Source organism: Homo sapiens, chromosome 4 (genome assembly GCF_000001405.40).
Source record: "Homo sapiens chromosome 4, GRCh38.p14 Primary Assembly".
In the NCBI taxonomy this organism is placed as follows: Eukaryota; Metazoa; Chordata; class Mammalia; order Primates; family Hominidae; genus Homo; species Homo sapiens.
This window is the reverse complement of record NC_000004.12, coordinates 47,411,019-47,429,941: the sequence shown is the minus strand read 5'-3', so window position 1 is coordinate 47,429,941 and position 18,923 is coordinate 47,411,019. Positions and strand designations below refer to the sequence as shown.

The 18,923-nt window shown below is 39.0% G+C and overlaps 1 protein-coding gene across 4 annotated transcripts in view, besides 1 other annotated feature; it reads right to left on the bottom strand.

Moving 5' to 3' along the window:
* The window catches only part of GABRB1 (gamma-aminobutyric acid type A receptor subunit beta1), a 432,801-nt gene continuing 417,372 nt past the window's right edge, over positions 3,495-18,923 (bottom strand). For all 4 annotated transcript variants that reach the window (XM_024453977.2, XM_024453976.2, NM_000812.4 and 1 more), the window contains one exon: positions 3,495-4,268. In XM_024453977.2, the coding sequence (XP_024309745.1) occupies positions 3,924-4,268 (345 nt within the window). In that variant the 3' untranslated portion in view covers positions 3,495-3,923. The remainder of the gene's footprint in view (positions 4,269-18,923) is intronic.
* Positions 15,214-15,794: an enhancer, noted in NCBI's record as "OCT4-NANOG hESC enhancer chr4:47416165-47416745 (GRCh37/hg19 assembly coordinates)". NCBI's record gives its function as "activates a minimal SCP1, AML or CMV promoter by ChIP-STARR-seq in primed H9 embryonic stem cells {active_cell/tissue: H9 hESC(primed)}" and the evidence as "EXISTENCE:reporter gene assay evidence [ECO:0000049][PMID:30033119]".

Below are 18,923 nucleotides of genomic sequence, written 5' to 3'. Positions count from 1 at the left end.
GTCAATGAACTATGTACAGAATTTACAAGGAAGTTTATGTAATAGTCTACATTCCATTAACAAATTTACCTTTATGTTCACTGCTTGCTTTCAGGAAACAGACATATTTGTTTGTTTTTCTGTCCCCCTCATCCCAGTAATGCTGATTGAACCACCATGAACAAATGCTTGTACATTCCTTTTTTCTCCCTCCTGGGATATATGATTTACTTTGTTTAGGAAAGAAAATGGTGACACATCACCCTTTGGTAATATACTATTCAAAATTGTCCATATAAGAAATCTTGGAGATTATTTCCTTCTAGAAGTATTATAAATATATCTTTTTTTGTTTAACTTGGCAAATTATAATTGAATTCTTTCTTAATATTTATAAAATAGTCATTGATTTTAGAAAGATGGAATTTAGTCAACATTTTTATGTATTGTACATAATGCTTTTTAAGGAATGCCTATCCTTGGACCCTTAAACCAAAGTTTATTCTCTGCACCACATTTTTTTCTCTTTGCATTTTCAAGATCCTTTGTTGATTGTAATGTACAATAAAGATGGCATGTATGAAAACACATATCATTCAGTTGGCAGAATTACCAACCAATCTGCTGTTTCTATTTGGCAATGTAGAAAACAGAGGCAATAATCCTGGATAATTCAAGCCGAAAATATATCTTGACCTGGATCTTTGCCTCACAAAGCTGGTAATTGTAATGCACATGTCATCCCTAATATTTTAAGCCAAGGAACATGATTGGAAGGAATGAGTATGCAGTCATCACTGTCCAGTGAAAGCTGGAATTTCCAATGGGCTTACACAGGTGAAGTCTATGACACAGTTTATGTCACAGTTTCTGAACTGTAGATATGGGGTTACTTGGACATGACTTGGACATCAGAGAGTGAGTCTGTGTAACTTTCAGCCTCTTCCTCAACTTAACTAATGCAGGGGATTATGGCTATTTTCATGGCAAAAAGAAAACAACCCAATAATGATTGAATAATAATCCCTCTATCATGTAATAATCTGAATCTTCCAAGAATGGGGCCAGTTTTGAGGGCACTTAAGAATGTCCAACAACATTTATATTTTATGTACATGATTTTGGGCAAGACAAGGGAGACAGCCAGAGAAGGAAGTTTTTTTTTTTTTCTATTCACTGTTCAGCCTGAAAGGGGAGGACTTGGCTAGGAGTGGGGCCAAGGAGGGAAGAATTTGGCCCACAGGTGTCCAGAAAGAAGTGGGGATAGAGGTCTTTAACCATAAATATTGCAGCTTCTCCATTCTTCTGGCTGCCACTGCCTCTAAAATCAGCTATTTACCAGGATTTTTATAATGCTGGCTGTGGCCCCTCTACTGCCCAGGAGGGCATATGGTGACACCATTTTGTGCCTGATGGGTAGATTCAGGCTTAATAAGTTTACATTTTACAAAGGTTAAGATATGAATTCAAAATGTTCTCTTTTTTTCTCAGAAGATGCTTTACATCTAAAACTACAGCATCAAAATCGTTAGATTTTTTAAAGACAAGATAAAAATATAATAATAAAAATACAAATATTCTCAATCTTTCCCAAGAATAATAATCTAAATAGATAAATAAAAATAAATTGTTTGTTAAGGAACATAGATTACAGATACTTCCTTTCTGATTTAGCATTTCATTCTTAAAAGCTTTTAAAAGAGCTTTGACACCCAGAATGATTCATTTTTATTAGGCATCAGCCAACAATTTTCCTTCCTGTGTTTAAGATAAATGGCTGCACAGTGGTTCCTTTGCGGTCATTACGGAATATTAACCTTACAATCACTGACATGGCCACATGCCACTCTATATGGCCATTTTATGATGGCAAAGCATCTCACCCTGCCAAGGGACTGAAGAGTTTCAAAATGGATGACTTCATACCCTAAGGCTGGAGATTTCCTTGACCAGGAAAGTGTGATAATACAACTAAAAATCTAAATAAAAATGTGGTCCCTATCATGAAACCACTGAGATCATTTTTTCCAGTTAAAGCAGAGTTTTTGTATATATATTATCTTCAGCCTTAACTATTCATTTATTTTAAGGTTCCCTTTTCCTCTTGCTTTCTAAAAGAATATCTTGTACCTTTCTCCCCTTCAGCTCATCAGTAAAAATTCAGCATCATCTGTCCGGTGAAGACTGTAATTTCCAGAAGCTGATGCTATTGTAAACATGGACCCCATCACAGTCTTAGGGAAAAAGCTAGATCATTAAGCCAGGCAATCGTCCCTATTATTACCTCAACCCTTATTTCACATTCATGGGTCAGGTCCCAAACCTCCTGCATCAGTGTTTGGTTAGCTTACAGTTTCATTCAGTCTTGCAAATGAACATACAGAATTCTTAGATACTGAGGTTGAAAAATAAAATGACAAGGTTTCAGTGATATAACATGGGAAGAATCTCAACTGTAGCTGGTTGGACATGTTTAGAATTGTGTTGGGCTACTGAAGGATGCCCCTTCTATGAGAACCATGACCAAGAGTAATCCACAAGCGGAGATAAAGCAGAGGAGCAATGACAGTGATTAATGAGTGTAGACAGGGTCTATTCTTTAGGGACTGGTGCATGTGTTGGAAGCTCCACTGCTTTTCTCATCGCTCTTGTTTTTATCTGTAGTTCTGCAATTTTCAAGATTTTCTTTAAAATGGAATTCTGGTCCTGAAGGGGAATGACATCAACATGGGTATTTGTGCATTTTCCAAAGCATTCATTCCAGTCTGGAATGCAGAGCTCAGAGAGCAGAGCCATGAAGTGCCAGTTGAGGCCTGTGTGACTAGCCTGTCACCATTAGATACTGCTCTCTAGAAGGCAAAGAAATATATACTATTTGATTTAAGATTTGGCAGTTCAGATAACTGCCCAGGCACCCTTTTCACAGCACATAAATCTTGCCTTCCTAATGGCAAGGGCAATATTTTTCTCAAGCAAAAATTGCTCACCATCCCCTTCCTCCCACACTCTCTGGAGCAGGAACTATGGAACTGGGGTGGCATGGCTTCCTGGCACAGCATCAGGGGGTTCCAGGCTGATGAGATGAATTCAGGGCTGCATGTTTGAAATGGCCAGTTAGAAAAATGGTCATTGCCTTCCAAGCTCCTTATTCTCAAGAAAAAAAGAAAAATGTTCTCAATGGCTACCAGGTCGACCAGGTTGGATTCTAATGTTAATTTAAAATTTGCCGGAAAGTCGAGAAAGAAGCATATTTCAGAATATCCAGCTTAATGGTGCAGTGAAGATGGCAGGTTGGGATTGCATAACCTTGACCAGCGCTTGTCCTTCCTTCCCTCTTCTTCTGTGGAGCTGTGGAGCCCTTTTACAACGGACATGGGAGAACTTAAGGATAGAGGGGACTCTTCCTTCCCTGTCTAAGCTCCTTTTTCTTTTGCCTTCTTCCTGGAAATCTGTAACTTGTCAATGGCTTTGTTTTTTTCTTCTGAGATCCTGGAAATTGTGTGTTTTTTTTTATGTTTTTTTTTTTTTTTTTTTGGCAGCATAAGTTTGTTATAGTTTACCAGGAAGCAGTGCAGGCGGACAGCAAGGTCCTCTTTTCATTTTCCCTAAAAAATAAATCAGTGAAATCCAGGGAAACTAGAAAAGACTGCTAAAGATCTACCTGTCTAACTTCTCTCTTTGTGTTTGTTTGTAAACATGGCAATTAATAGAGCTCTTAAAGAGCTGATAACCTGGACCACGGTAGACTGGAAAAATAATTTTTTTTTTGTTTTGTCTTTTTGAAGTAAACATGGTGCAGTAATAAAACTGATATGCAAGACCTAAAACCAATTGGATGGCTGAATCTCTTACCTCGAGAAACAGCAGTATCGCTGTTGGGGACCTGTAAGGTTAAAAAACAATAGAAGAGGAAAGTAGTCTAAATGGAACCATTAGAACAGACCTCAGTGTACATAGTAAAGCCAATAGACGACATTAAAAAGAGAAAAGGTGATGGGGAAAAACATTCGGGACCACTTGTCTATGGAATTCACATCAGTCAAGTCGGGGATCTTGACTTTGAGCTGGGAGGCACGCCTGCGGATGCGCCCCTTGCTGGGTACCCCGTGCCGGTCCAGGGCGCGCCCGTAGGCCTCGCGGCTGCTCAGGGGCTTGCGGTACTGGATGCTGGCGCTGTCATAGGAGTACATGGTGGCCTTGGGGTCGCTCACGCTCGTGAGCACTTCCGAGCCACTCGTCTCATTCCGGATTTCCAGGGTGCTGAGGAGAATGTTACCGTGGGCGTCGACCTGATGGCAAAAAGAACAGGCTCGGACACAAGTTGCAGGACCTTTGCCTGTTTTCATTAACCTGTTACTAATGATACCCCATAAGGCTCATTAAACACTGTGTTCCTAAACATCTGGCTTGATGTGCCTCCCTGATGTGGAGATAGATCGATCGATCTATCTATCTATCTATCTATCTATCTATCTATCTATCATCATCATCCATCCACCTTGCTAGCTTTCTAGCTATCATCTGTCTCCACTCACAGAACACTTGTGTGTGTGTGTGTGTGTGTGTGTGTGTGTGTGTGTGTGTGGTATTTCTTCTTGTTATAAAAGTGGTACATGGAAACAAAGCTAGAAACACAAAATAAAAAGTAAAAATTCATAATCTCACCTTCAGAGTCAATCATTAACATCTCGCTTGGCTTCCAGTCTTTTCTCTATTCATATATACTTGCAAACACAGGTTCATTCATATATTTTGCCTTGCAACCTGCTTTTCTCAGTTAATAATACAGCCTGGGCATCTTTCCTTGTTAATAAATATTCCTCTGTGACACGCTTTATTAATAGCTTACATGAATAAAACATAATTGAATTAATCTGTTGTTAGATGTTAAGGTTTGTTTTACTTTGTAGTATTATAGACAAGTCTGGAAGGAATATTTTGTAGTTAAATCTTTGTGCATATCCATAATTATTTCCTTAGGCAAAATTGACAGATATGATTAATGGGTCAAAGGATTCGCCTGGCTATCCTTTGACTTTTGTTCCTCTACTGTTGTTCACTGATGCTTCCTGTAGTTCCAGTGATACCTATCCCAGGTTTCCTGGTTCTTCTCTATGCTATGCCCACACAGTCTTTTGGAACTACAGAAAATGTGAGCACAGTTTGGCTCAGAATGTGGCCTTGTTTAACTTCAAGCTGATATACTTTGCAAACTGATTTACCTGGAAGGGACATGGCTCATATGTGAAAATGAGCTTGAAGTACTTCCAGGGCCAGTACAGGGAGAGGGAGCTGTGCTAACATGTGTATTAGCATAATGCCTGACTTACAGTAAGGAGTCTATAAATGCTTTTGAATGAGATTAATCTTAGTAAACACTTAACACACTAGGTATAGATAAGGAGGCAAAAGAGCCTAGTGAAGAAGAGATAGAGAAAAACATAGGCGGCAAATACAAACAAGAGAGAAAGAAAAGAAAGGGACAGAGGATAGATAGCACATGATGGTGCAACCGTGGTACAGTTTAAAGAACTAAGATTTATTGTGTTCCCATCATGAGTAGCATTTATATTACTGTTTAATACAGCAACCCTATTTTAAAAGGCCATCCCATCCCCATTTTATAGATAAGGCAAATGAGATTTAGAACGGTTAACAATCTGGCTCGTTTACACAGCTAGTAAGTGCCAGCCCTGATATTAGAACCCATGTGTATCTGATTCAAAGCTCAAGCTCTTTCTACTTGGAGGACCACATCACAGTCCCTGGCCTTTGTTACACTTTGTTTCCACAGGAAACTCAGTAATGCATTTGTTAGCTTTAGGATTTGAGTTGGTTGGAGAGAGAAATGGCGACTGACTCTGGTTTCTGTCATCTCTCTCTCCTTTTTTACCTATCATTGTTTCCCTCTGTGAAGCATTTTGCTTCAGTCTAATTGGGCTACCCACATGCCCTGACTGTATACATCTATTGGTGACTTTATTCAGGGAGTTATTATTATTATCTTGTTGTTGTTGTTAATAACTACAATTTATTGAATTCTACTATGTAATTTATCTCAGTAATTTCAGTATTTCAGTAATTGAATCTTACTAATTTACCTTAGTTATAATAACACTAAGACATATATGTTATCCTAATTCAGCAGACAGGAAAACCAAGGCTCAAAGAAGTTAAGTAAATTAAACAATAAGATTAAACAACAAGTACCAAATTTGGGATTAAAACAGAATATTCTTTGTCTCAAATATTATTTTCTCTCCTCTTTGTATGTTAATCAAATCCACCTGTTTTGGCCAAGGCTCAATTTAAATCCTGCTTTCTTTGTGTACCTTTGTACTTTGCCTGCCCATAGGCACCTCCAAAACTTTCTCCCAACATTTATTGAGTGCTTACTGTGTGAGAGATGAAGTGTTAGGTGTCAAGGATATATGCAGCACAACTAGCATCCTTACCAACAAAAACCCTTAGCACTGACTTTTACAACAGAATTTACAAACTCAGCCACCTACGGGGACCAAGAAGCATGGCTGAGTAGAGCCAGGTGAAAGTAAGTAATTGAGTGAAGCTAGGGAATGGTGATGCCTATGGGGCCTCAGAGAGCAGATGTCTAAGGAGGGGACTGCAGCTCAGCTCCAGTTGACAACTACACTGAATGGACTAGACTCTAGTGTTGCCAGATCACCCCCTTTACCAGAAAACCTGAACATATAGATTTTTATTTTGTCTTTCCTTAAAGTTGACTCAATAGTGTAAAAATGATCTTCAGGTCAGATGAAACATATCTGTGTCCAGATCTGACTTTTGCATAGCCAGTTAGGGACCTCTTTTTTTTTTTCCATTCACATATCCTTTAGCATATATTACTTTGTGTTGATGTTGATTTTTAGGTTTCAGTCCTATTTTCCCAACCAGAGCTATTGGGGTGCTCAGGGGATAGATAATGAGGGCCTGGACTAGGACAATGTAGCAGAAAGAAAAGGAAAACTACACTAAAGAGGAACTTTTGAAAAATGTTTAAAATAGAAATGAAATTGATTTGGCAACTGATTAGATTTGTAGCACAAGGAAGTGAAGGTGACCTGGAAACTGTCAGCCTGTTAGGCTGAAAGATTATATTGTCATCGGCGAAATGGGGTGTCTGGTGTGTGTTGCATGTATAGGGTGGAAAAAAAGAGTTTGTTATTTTGGTTGAATTTGTGATATACATTAGGCATCCTTGTGGTGGTGTCCAGCAAATAATGTATATGTGGTGATGACTGGGATAATGTTGGGGCTGAGATTATTTTAGGAGTGGGAGGCAGCTATGGAGTCAGTGAAAGAGACACAGAGAAACTATAGAGGTAGAGAACAAATAACATCTTGCTATGAAGAGAAACTCAAGGAGGGAGAAGGGTGTCCAGAAGGACAGAATGGTCAATAGTGTTTCAGAGAGAACAGGGGGAATGAAGAAGGCTCATAGATTTATCAATAAGGCCATTTGCGGTCTTAGAATAAGAGCTGAAGCAGAACCTGGATTGCAAGGGGTTAAAGACTGAATTGGTAGCAAGGAGGAGAAGGGAGTTTGTATGGACTCCCCTTTTCAAAAGTTTGCAGGTCAAAGGAAGAAAAGAAATAAAAGCATTAGCTCACACATATCGGGATAGGGTGTCAAGTGAAGCTGGAAGAGACACAGTAGACAGGAAAAGAAGGATTGAGAAAGGCAAATTCTAAGGGAGTGAGTGAGGAAGTCAAAGATATGGAAGGATAACAGGCTACCTTCAGAAATGGGAATTTTACACATGGAGATATGGGAGGTAGAATGTTTCTGAGCAATGGGAACATGTGCTAATGTTTGCTGGGGATTTGAGATCAGGTGATGGTGAAGGTCATTGAGAATAATGAGCCAGATGCAGTCTCTGTCCTCTACTGTATGTCTATAATTGAAAAAGTCATGTGCATGAAATTTGACATTACTAAGGATGGTAGGGTTGAAGTGATGAGGACCAAAATGCTTGAATTCCTTAAAGGAGGGAGAATTACATTAGAAGATAAGGACTGGAACACATGATTTTGTTAGGTACTTTGGAATAGCCAAGATAATCACAAAATATGAATTTTGTCCATAAGAGATCATTACCTCCTTAGAGATATAGAGTGAAGCATAATATTGGGAGGGACAAGTTTTCAATCAAACTGTACATGGCATAATATAGATCACGATTAGGGATTCATCAAAGTGAGAAATCATTGGGGGTCACAGAAGCCTTCTTGTAACAGTGGGCCTTGCATTGAGTTTTAAAGGATGGGTAGAGGACAGAACAAAAATTGAGAGTTGAAAGCTATGTTATTATTCTAGTTTTATTATCTACTCAGAAATGGACTTGGATAAGTCTGGGTCTCAGATCCCTTATCTATAAATGGAAGGTTTTCATTAGGTAATCTCAAGAGTTGGCTTCCAATCTTTGACAGTTTTTGATTATGAAGAACATTCCAGGTGGAGGACATAGCATTCTGAAAAAATGCTTGTAAAATGGAATCACCTGATCTGCACTCTATGCATCATTAAGTTACATTATTATGAATCTCTCTAAGTAAAAAAAAGTTGCTAGAGTTTAGAATCGGCTAGTGAAGCATACAGATGCTCCTAATTAAACAGAAGTCAGGGTTAACAAGGTACATTTTATTAAGCTATTTTGGTTAACCTTGGTGCAGATTTAAATGTGCCTAAAACTTGCATGAGATTTACCAGTTTGTGCAAATCCCTCAGTATTCTCCGTCACTGAGCTAGAAATCATAGCATTAAGTGGTTTGACATTTAAGATAATGGATCTAGTTCTGCAACTATCCATGAAAGCTGATTTCATTACTATAGAGTTATGTCAACATTACCATGTTCTTTTTCAGGGAAATTTTTAAAGTAGCTATATAACAATTCTTGCCCACTTCCATTTTCTTTCTTACCCAGTGTAGGACTTGTCCTAAAGGCTGATGTTAACAGACTCTGTGTGTGTGTGTGTGTGTGTGTGTGTGTGTGTGTTTGTGTGTGTATGTACATGCTCATGCATTTCTTCTACAGTGTGATATTTCACCCTCACCCTCCAGCTTTCTGCTGTCAGGTAAGGTATACATGTGGTAGCCATACCACTGCTGACATCCACAAGTTTCTTGTTGGCTCTGCTGTAACCCATTCCCCTTGGAGAAGAGTGGCTTTCCCTTTGCCTCAACCATATCAGGGCATCTAAGGTATTCTTATATCTGAAGCTGACACAGCTTTCCAAAAATAATATCCATGGAGAAAGGGCTATTATTTTTTCATATCATCAGAGGGAGCAAGAAGTCATGTTGTACATTGCCTCAACATCTGCAGTGGCCAAATGCTGCCTAATTAATAAAGAAATATCAAAATATCAATATTTGAGTTGAGCACAATCCAGATTGAAGATTTTTAAACCTTGAGGCAGAAGGAAGTGAGGCAAATTAAAATTGTTAACATACTGGATTTCTAAGGCAGGTATAGACCAGCAGATTTTTTTTCAAAAGTTGCTGATGTTGAAAGAACTCTTCTGTGGGATAATTATTCCCCACTCCTCACAGTGCCCTCAAGTATGAGAATTCCCACTCCAAGTCCCAGAAGACAATCTAAGGGAGGAACATGTACAACTTCTTTTCTCCTTCTCCCCTCTCACTGCTCCCCACTGACCTATGTGGTAGGTATATTTAGAAGAAGGAAGCAGGCATTCTAGGCTCCGTGCCTTCTGGAGTTTTCTGTCTCTGATCTGCTTCCTAAGAGGGTGCAGTGCAGATAGGAATCTGCATGTTGAACCCTCCTGTGCTTTTGGGTAAAGTCTGCAGTTGTTCATCAGTTCCAGTGACCGGGGAGGTAAGTCTGTTTCTGATTAGAAGGAATGACTGCAGTATATTAATCATATATTCCTCAAACCAACATAATGGATTCTCTTTTTTAAAGTTTAGAGTGTCATTGAACCTAAATTGAGAGAAAATGAATGTAATTATTAATAAGGCTTCAGGAGGGCCAATCGAGAAACGCTTCCTCTTCCACTTCAGATAGATGACCAGTAAAGGGGAGTGGAGAATACAGCTTAGTTCTGCAGCCCCAAGGGCTTGGCAATATTTCACTCTCACCCCACTCCTTATTAGACAGGCATATTTCCTGGCTGCAAAAGGTAATTTTAGGTGGATCATGGATAATCATTTAAAATGTTAATAGTAGTTCATGCATTCACTCACTCATTTATTCAATGTTTACTGAGTGCCTACTATGCCTCAGGCACTGTTCCAGACACTGATGAAGACATCAGCCCCTCCATAAGCAATAGAACATCATGGCCCTCATTTTATAAATTCAGAGATCTCAACAAATAAAGCCTCTTGATGTTACAGTCTCCTGTACAAACACTGGAACCCTGACCCCCTATTGATTCTAAATGTTTTACTGGACAAATACTTTGACCTCTTTCAAATGCAGGTTATCAGTGCCCTTTCCAACAGCTTCTTTGAAGTTTGCTCTCTTGCAACCACGATGTCCACCTTCTTCTTGCCTGCCGAGTCTTTCTTTCATCTCCTTCCTGAAGGTCATGACACCCAGCCTTAAGGCCTGCTGATCACAGACAAGTCTTAGAGGGGCTCACATATAAAGAAAGGTCCTGGAATTCTACTTCATAAAGACCTGAGATGGAAGGGACAATCCAGCTTCTGGCTGGCGCACACTTTCCTTCCTTCCTCCAGTGCACTGCTTATAAACCATGTTATCTTGTTTTTAAATTCTAATTCTGATGACACAACAGTCCTGGGAAGATGGTGGTGAGCAAAACAGACAAAGTTCTTGAAATACTGGTGTTTACGTTGTTATGGAGGAAAATGGTCAATACCATCCCTCCTTCTAAAATTAGTTTTTAAAAAAATCAGGTAACATTATGAAGAAAAAAGAGAGCTGTATATATCTTTTAATGTATTTAGGAAAATATGACCAGTTTGTGATTTTGTGCATATTTTTCTTAACATTATATTCATGCTCACATTTCATTATGACAAGGGAAAAATCTAAAGTAATTCACGTTTCCTTATTTTCTTCTGGACCTTACTACAGAAGAACCTAAAGGATAGTGCTGCATGGATGTTTAGAGGCATCTACATCTCAAAATTGCCAGAGCAGAACTCTTGATCCTCTCTCTTCCCATCCAACTTGTTCCTTCCACTGAGTGTCCCATCTAGAATGTTACTCCAAGGGGGCAGGGATTTTGTATTATTCACAACCGTTTCCCCGAAGCCAAGAAAAGTACTTGGCATATAGAAGCATTCAATAAATATCTTTGAAATGAATGAATGGGGATAAATACATTGGGTATAGTGGTTAATTTTGTTTGTCAACTTGGTCGGCTGTGGTTTCCAGTTGCTAGGTCAAACACTAGTTTAGATGTTGCTGAGAAGGTATTTTGTAGATGTGATTGGCATTTACAGTTACTGTAAGTAAAGGAGATTACCCTCGATAATGTGGGTGGGCCTCATGCTATTGATTGAAAGCATTGAGAGCAAAAACTGAGGTTTCCAGGAAAAGAAATTCTGTCTCCACACTGCACTGTAGAAACGTTGGCCAAGTTTCCAGCAAGCCCTGCAGATTTCAGGCTAAAGATTGCAAAATCAACTCTCATCTGAGTTTCCAGCTTCAACCTGCCTGACAGATTTTGGACTTGCCAGCTTCCACAATTGCAAGAAATGATTCCTTAAAATAAATCTCTTATTATATGTATGTTGGTTCTGTTTCTATTGGTTCTGTTTCTCTGAAGAGCCCTGACTGATACAAAAGCCATGCCAAAAATCACAGGGTGATTCTCAAATGACTAAAGTCCAGAGAACATAATGTGATGGCTGTACTGTTTCTTTCCTTAACAGAAATCTGAAGTGAATTTACAGATTTATTTTCTGGATTGGGTTTAGCCTTTCTTCCACCCCTTCCATCTCACTCACTATCTCCTCTCTGCCCCAACATTCTCAATGAGTGCCTTAGGCTGTGAAAAATGTTGCCACTCACTGAATTGAACTGCTCTGGATATTTTCAATATATAAGTATAGCTGAACTCATTTTAGTGTAATTGGAATAAAATATAATCTTGTTTTCAGTGGCGGTTTTAAAGCCCTGTCGAGGAACACCTCTGGGCTCAATCTACTTTGCAAACAGTGAGTTATTTCCTTCTTGCTAGCCAATTCAATTAGATTCATATTTACTGAGTGGTTCTGAAGCACAGAGCAGGAAACCAAGTGAAGTGGAGCTGGCTACAGAATGAGCTAATTCACTGTCCTCAAGAAGCCTACACTCTACTTAATGAAGCCAACTAGTGCGAATGGCTGCCTTCCCTTGTAGAGAACACACAGTTGCAACAGCCCAGCCTTCATCTTCCCATTTCTCTCATAGAATGTACTGTATTTGCTGTTGCTGTCAGTCATTTGCGCTCACCAGGGCTGCCAAACCCTGATCTCTTAGGCTGGAATTCCTGAAACCTTTTCTCGGGGGGAGGAGATGGGAGGTTCTGCTGATGCTTTGCATGTCTCTTTGCATGTCCTGAAAGCTTGCGGCAGAAGTGGAAACTTTATTATCATTTTGAGAAGGAACAGAAGATTAAGTGCAAATGTACATAAATCTAAGACAAATAAATTATATTATTCAGGAAATAGAAAAGGAAAAAAACAAAAAACAAAAATAAGGCTGTGGCTTCCAGTTGCTAGGTCAAACACTAGTTTAGATGTTGCTGAGAAGGTATTTTGTAGATGTGATTGGCATTTACAGTTACTGTAAGTAAAGGAGATTACACTCGATAATGTAGGTGGGCCTCATGCTACTGATTGAAAGCATTGAGAGCAAAAACTGGCAATTTTCCAGAACAGTACTCAGGTAGATACATTTATCCTGGATTCGTTTCTTTTCCTTATTTCTCCCATTCTATGTTTTAGTAGGTCCAAATTGCTCTACTTTTAAATAGATCCTGATTCTATTGACTTTTTTCTTTTTTAAAAAATTTTTATGAGCACATAGCAGGTATATTCCATGCCTTGTTCTTTCCACCATCACCTCTTGCATCTTAAGTGATCTTCCTCTTTCCAGAAATGTTGCCCTGTGGTCCTTTCTCTACATAGAAGCTGGAATGATCCTTTAACAATGTAAAACAGGGTGACAGAGTGAGACTCCATCTCAAAGAAAAAAAAAGTGCAAAACAGGCTGGGTGCAGTGGCTCATGCACGTAATCCCAGCAATTTGGGAGGCTGAGGTGGCCTGATCACCTGTGGTCAGGAGTTCTAAACCAGCCTGGCCAACATGGCGAAACCCCATCTCTACTAAAAATACAAAAATTAGCCGGGTGTGGTGGCGGGCGCCTGTAGTCCCAGCTACTCAGGGAGGCTGAGGCATGAGAATTGTTTGAACCCGGGAGGCAGAGGTTGCAGTGAGCCACGATTGCGCCACTGCACTCCAACCTAGGCGACAGAGGGAGACTCTGTCTCAAAAAAAAAAAAAAAGTAAAACAAATGATGTCTATTTATATCTTCTGTTTACTCTGTTTATATCTTCTAGTTACTTTTCAAGACATAGAATGAATTCCAAATTTCTTATTCTAGTCCAAAAAGCACCATGTGGTTTGCTTCCTGTGGGTACCTCAGCCCTCATTTCCTACCAGGCTGCTCTTCAAGCACTGCTCCAGCCACACAGGCCTTATTTTGGCTGTCTCTTGATGCTCCTAAGTCTGCAGGGCATTTTCACCTGCTATGTTTCTCTTGCACAATGCTGTTTCTTGCCCACATTGTTACCTGGCTAGCTTCTCATCATTTTCTTTACTATAATTATCGTCATCTGCCATTATATCATGTGTTTATTCACATATTTGTCAATTACCTCAACTGGAATATAAGCTCCAGGAGGGCAGGTGCTTTTTTTGTTGTTCATCACTACTCAGTATGTCCTCCTTGCTTTTCCAGAACTGAGCCTAAGATAGATTTTGCTGAGTAAATGTCTGCAGAATGGGGAAATCTGAAACTTATACTTTGAGTCATCTCTCTGAGCTCTGAGTTTCAATGGCCAAGGACACCTGCAGAGGTGGCTAGAATGTCTAGGATCTCCAGGGTTGTGGTTCTCAGACATTGAGGTGTATCTGAATGAATTGGGAAGCTTGCTAAAAACACCAGTTTGAGTTCATCTCATTTTAGGTTAAGATCCTCTTAGTCTGTATTCCACCCAAACATCCCAAGGGTCATAGTAGGTTGTGGTGGATGCCTATTCGTTTGACCTGTCTGATTCCATTCTACCTTCCTCTGATGATAATGCCCTGATATTCTTTTGGTGCACGTGGTTGAAGTATGCCTAATTGCATCTTCTAGGTTCCAGGGACATGCATGTGATCCAGACCTAGGCATTTAGCATTTTCCATCTTCCTGGTGAGAAGAATTGACTTCTGCGTGAAAATATGACAAGTTTATCCAAAAAGACTCAATCCTAGGCCTTTTTTAAATTATAACTATGGGGTATAAGAAATAATTTTGTGCTAGGGTCAAAGAGCTTTGACACTATAAACTTGGAACTTTGGGACCACCATGAGGGAAGGGTCAAAACAAAGTCAATATAAAAGAAAGCAGAATTAAGAGATGAAGAGAGATACTTCTGACAAATTGTTTGGACACCTGGAACAGCACATGTGAAACTAGGACTGTGCTTCCACCTTTCAGTTGTGTGGGCCAATAAATCCCTCTCCCTCCTCTTTTATTCTTAAACCAGTTAAGTAAAGTAGACTTCTTTCTTGTTCACCAAAGGAGTTCTAGATATCTGGGTAGTGAAAAAAATAGAAAATAAGAGACAGAGATTCCTGAAAAGGAAAATTAGACTTCTGAAGACTGGAGATAGGATAGGATTAAATCAAGGCTAGAGAACAAAAAGCGAACGAAGCCAGATTAGGACAGGGGTTTGAGGAATAAAGAAATTCATGAACTATCAACACAGGCTGTCAGTAGAAATTCTGGATGCTAGGTATAGATGGTGAAAGTTTCATCAAAGGCAGGGTGAGTTTTCCAGTTGGTCTGAAGGCCCAGGCTCAAAGGCTGACAGATAGGGAGCTGTTTCAAGCTGGACCTAAAGACAGAGCTGTATACCTTTACAATGCCCACCTCCACCTGCACATTGCATCCTGGAATTAACCACAATACAGAGCTGATTTACATTTAGAAAGTTGTCTGAAAGTGTTTGGGTGACTTACCATGGAGAACAGGAATGGGAGAGAAGAGGCCAGATCACAATACTAATATCTGATTTTAAGAGGGAAAAAAATCTATTTCTTGACTATTGGGGATACAACTGCATATTTGGTATTGTGAAAGGAAAATAAATCTTGGGGCCCCCAAATCACTAAGCTAAAGGGAAAAGTCAAACTGGGAACTGTTAGGGTACACCTGCCTCCCATTCTATTCAAAGTCACCCCTCTGCTTACTGAGATAAATGCATATCTGATTGCCTCCTTTGGAGATGCTAATCAGAAACTCAAAAGAATGCAACCATTTGTCTTTTATCTACCTATGACCTGGAAGACCTTTCCCTGCTTCAAGTTGTCCCTCCTTTCCAGACCGAACCAATGTTCATCTTACATATGTTGATTGATGTCTCATGTCTCCCTAAAATGTATAAAGCAAAACTGTGCTCTGACCACCTTGGGCACATGTCGACGGGACCTCCTGAGGCTGTGTCATAGGCACTCATCCTCAACCTTGGCAAAATAAACTTTCTAGATTAACTAAGACATGTCTCAGATTCTCAGAGTTCACAGAATGAATCTTTGGCAGATTCCTCTGGTGTCCCCTGTGACACGGAATGACTGAATCAGTCTCTGCTCACAGACCACCCAAGCTACCATTTCAGCCATTTCATTTATTTGCAAATGGAAAGGGATTGTGGCCAGAATATATAACTGAAAAAGTTCCAGATGCGTATAAAAGTGGCCCAGAGGTAGCTTACTTAAAGCCTCGTTGTACTGTGAAATCTATCTTTCAAAACTCTAAATACCATCTCTATTTTCAAATGATGCCTGAGGGGCTTATGAATCTACAGTCTTTATCACCTTAGAGGTTGAAACTCTCCGAATGTCTGGATCTAGCATCTGCACTGAAATAAAAAGATGCTTCAGAGCAGCTGGAGGAAATATAAATCAAGACAAAGCAAGCACTCCTGAAGCTTCAGTACAAATACCCCTTGACCTGACTGCCCAGCCAGAGCGATCAAAAGTAATGTGTAACAACTGAACAAGGCCACTCTATGCTCCAGTGAACCAAGGCAAATACTGAGGAAATCCCTCAAATGAAAATTGTCTGGGACCAGGGCACAGATGTCATTTAAATTTAACTGTTTACAAGCATCTAAAAGTAGAGGATCATCCAACCATTATATTTAAAAAAATTAATAGTCTTTTTTATATTTTTGAGTTTAACTAGCAGGTAGCAATTTAAAATACCACACAGTTTGCATTATTAATGTAACTGCTGAAATGACACACTGAATAGATGAAGTAAATACTTGCTTTGTTATTGACATATTATCTGTCTGGACTTTTGGTTTTAGAAGAGGATAAGAAAGTTAGGAACTACCAAACCTAAGCAGGTGCAGGGATGATTATAACTTGCATGAGATGGTAATGCTGTATTATTATCCCACCTAAATATGAAGAAGTTTATAAAATTGATACAGGAGATAGAAATAAATTATTTAGACAGATAGTAAGGGCAACAGAGACCTCGGCGGAATTTCTGTTTTAACAAAAAGCAGCCCCCAAATCATTTCTTTTCTAACAAAGAGCAGTCTGAAAAATCAAGCTGTAGACATAGATAAGCAAGTTGGAAGCTTTCACGGTGAATGCTGGCAGCTGTGCCAGTAGAAAAGGGCTACCTGGAAGCCAGGTATGTTCAACATGAAGGCTCCATCTTCCCTTTCCTTTTTCACCCGAGTACAGTACAGAGAAGCAGGCAACATGGCGCCAGCCAGGTAGAGAACCAACTTGCATAATAAAAAATTAGAGTGGGGTGGCCAGCTTTTTCACATGCTATGCAAATGGCACATCTAGCCTTAACCAGTTTTTTGAGCCTTATGCAAATGGAAGACCTGGTCTGACCAATCTTTCATGCCCTATGTAAATTAGACACTACCTCCTCTTATTCAGCTGTAAAACCCATTGCATTTCACCACAGACCAGAAGACCTGCTTGGGACCCCTCTCTCTGCAGGAGAGAGCATTTCTCTTTCTTTCTCCTATTAAACCTCTGCTCTTAACCTCACTCCTTATGTGACCGCATCCTTGATTTCCTTGGCGTTGAGACAATGAACCTTGGGCGTTACTCCCAGACGAACAGTGCCATTTCAAAATCTTAGCCATAATGCTCCTTTAAAGATTACATGTAATGCTATATGGCACAGTGATTCAAAAAGAATACCAGAGGTTGATATAAAGCATGTTTAAATTTTTTTTTGAAAATAAAAATGATAGGAACAGTAAGACAGTCTGGAGCAGAAGCTGAAGTGGAGTATAGTCTCTTTTTCTTACTTATTATGAATATGTACGAGTTTTATAAAACATAGTGTAACACTGAATGCGTGATTTCTAAAAACATCTAAAATGGAGAACAACTCTCCAGTATTAATTAATTAATTCATTCATTCAACAAGTACTTATTTGTTATCTACATTTTAGCTACTGAGGAAAGAACAATGAATGTAAAAGACAAGGGCTCTGGGGTGTATAATTGGGAAGCTGTAGCTTAAAAGGAGAAACAGATGTTAAAAGATAATTATACAAATAAACATATACTCACTATCATGGAAGTCTTATTGTGGAAAAGCACAGGATCCCATAAGAACAATTAACAGCGATACCAAATAATAAATCAAGAGTGAGAGTGTCTATTAAGGCAACCCCAAAGTAGTAGCATTTATGGTAAGAACTGCTACAATTGAGAAATTGAGAGAAGCCCAATATGACCTTCAATTTCGCTAATCATTTTTTTCTGTTGTATACAATGTGATGTTAATTCATCTAATAAAAATTTTAATTCTATGATTTCCATTGTTCCACTTTTATAGTTTCAACTATCTTCTGAAACTCCCCATTTCTTTATACACTATATCAATTTTTCCTACTGACTTTCTCTTAAACTTTTTATTTGGAAACTATTACAGATTCCCAGAAAGTTGTGAAGATAGCACAGAGGGGCCCCATGTACCCCTCACCCAGGTTCTCCAACTGATTACATCTTACATAACTATGATATAATATCAAAGTCAGGAAAGTGACATTGACATAAAGTGTGTATAGTTCTGTGTAATTTTATTGCATATGTAGATTCATGTAACAAGCATTCCAATTAAGTTACAGAACTATTCCATTACTGCAATGATCTCCCTCACACTAGTTCTTTATAATCAGTCATACCCATCCCACATCCTTCCTCACTATCACTGACTCCCGGCAACCACTAATCTGTTCTCCATCTCTATAATTTTGTTATTTCAAGAGTATTATATCAATGGAATAATACAGTATTATAACCTTTTAATACTGTTTTTTTTCACTCAACCTAATGCCCTTGAGAGACATCCAAGTTTTTGCATGTATCAACAGTTCATTTCTTTTTTACTGGAATAGTACTCCATAGTGTGTATATACCACAGTTTGTTTAACCATTCATCTATTGTAGGATATTTTGGCTGTTTCCAGTTTTGGGCTATTTCTTATGAACTTTAAAATACACTAATTATAGTTATTTATACTAATTATCTTTTAGGCCAATATTTGAGACTTTTACTGCTCTGTTTCTGTTGACAAATGTTTTTCTCTTGATGATGGTCACATCTTCCTGTTTCTTCTTATGTCTAGTAATTTTTTACTATATATTGGATATTTTGAATGATGCACCATAGAGACTCTAAAT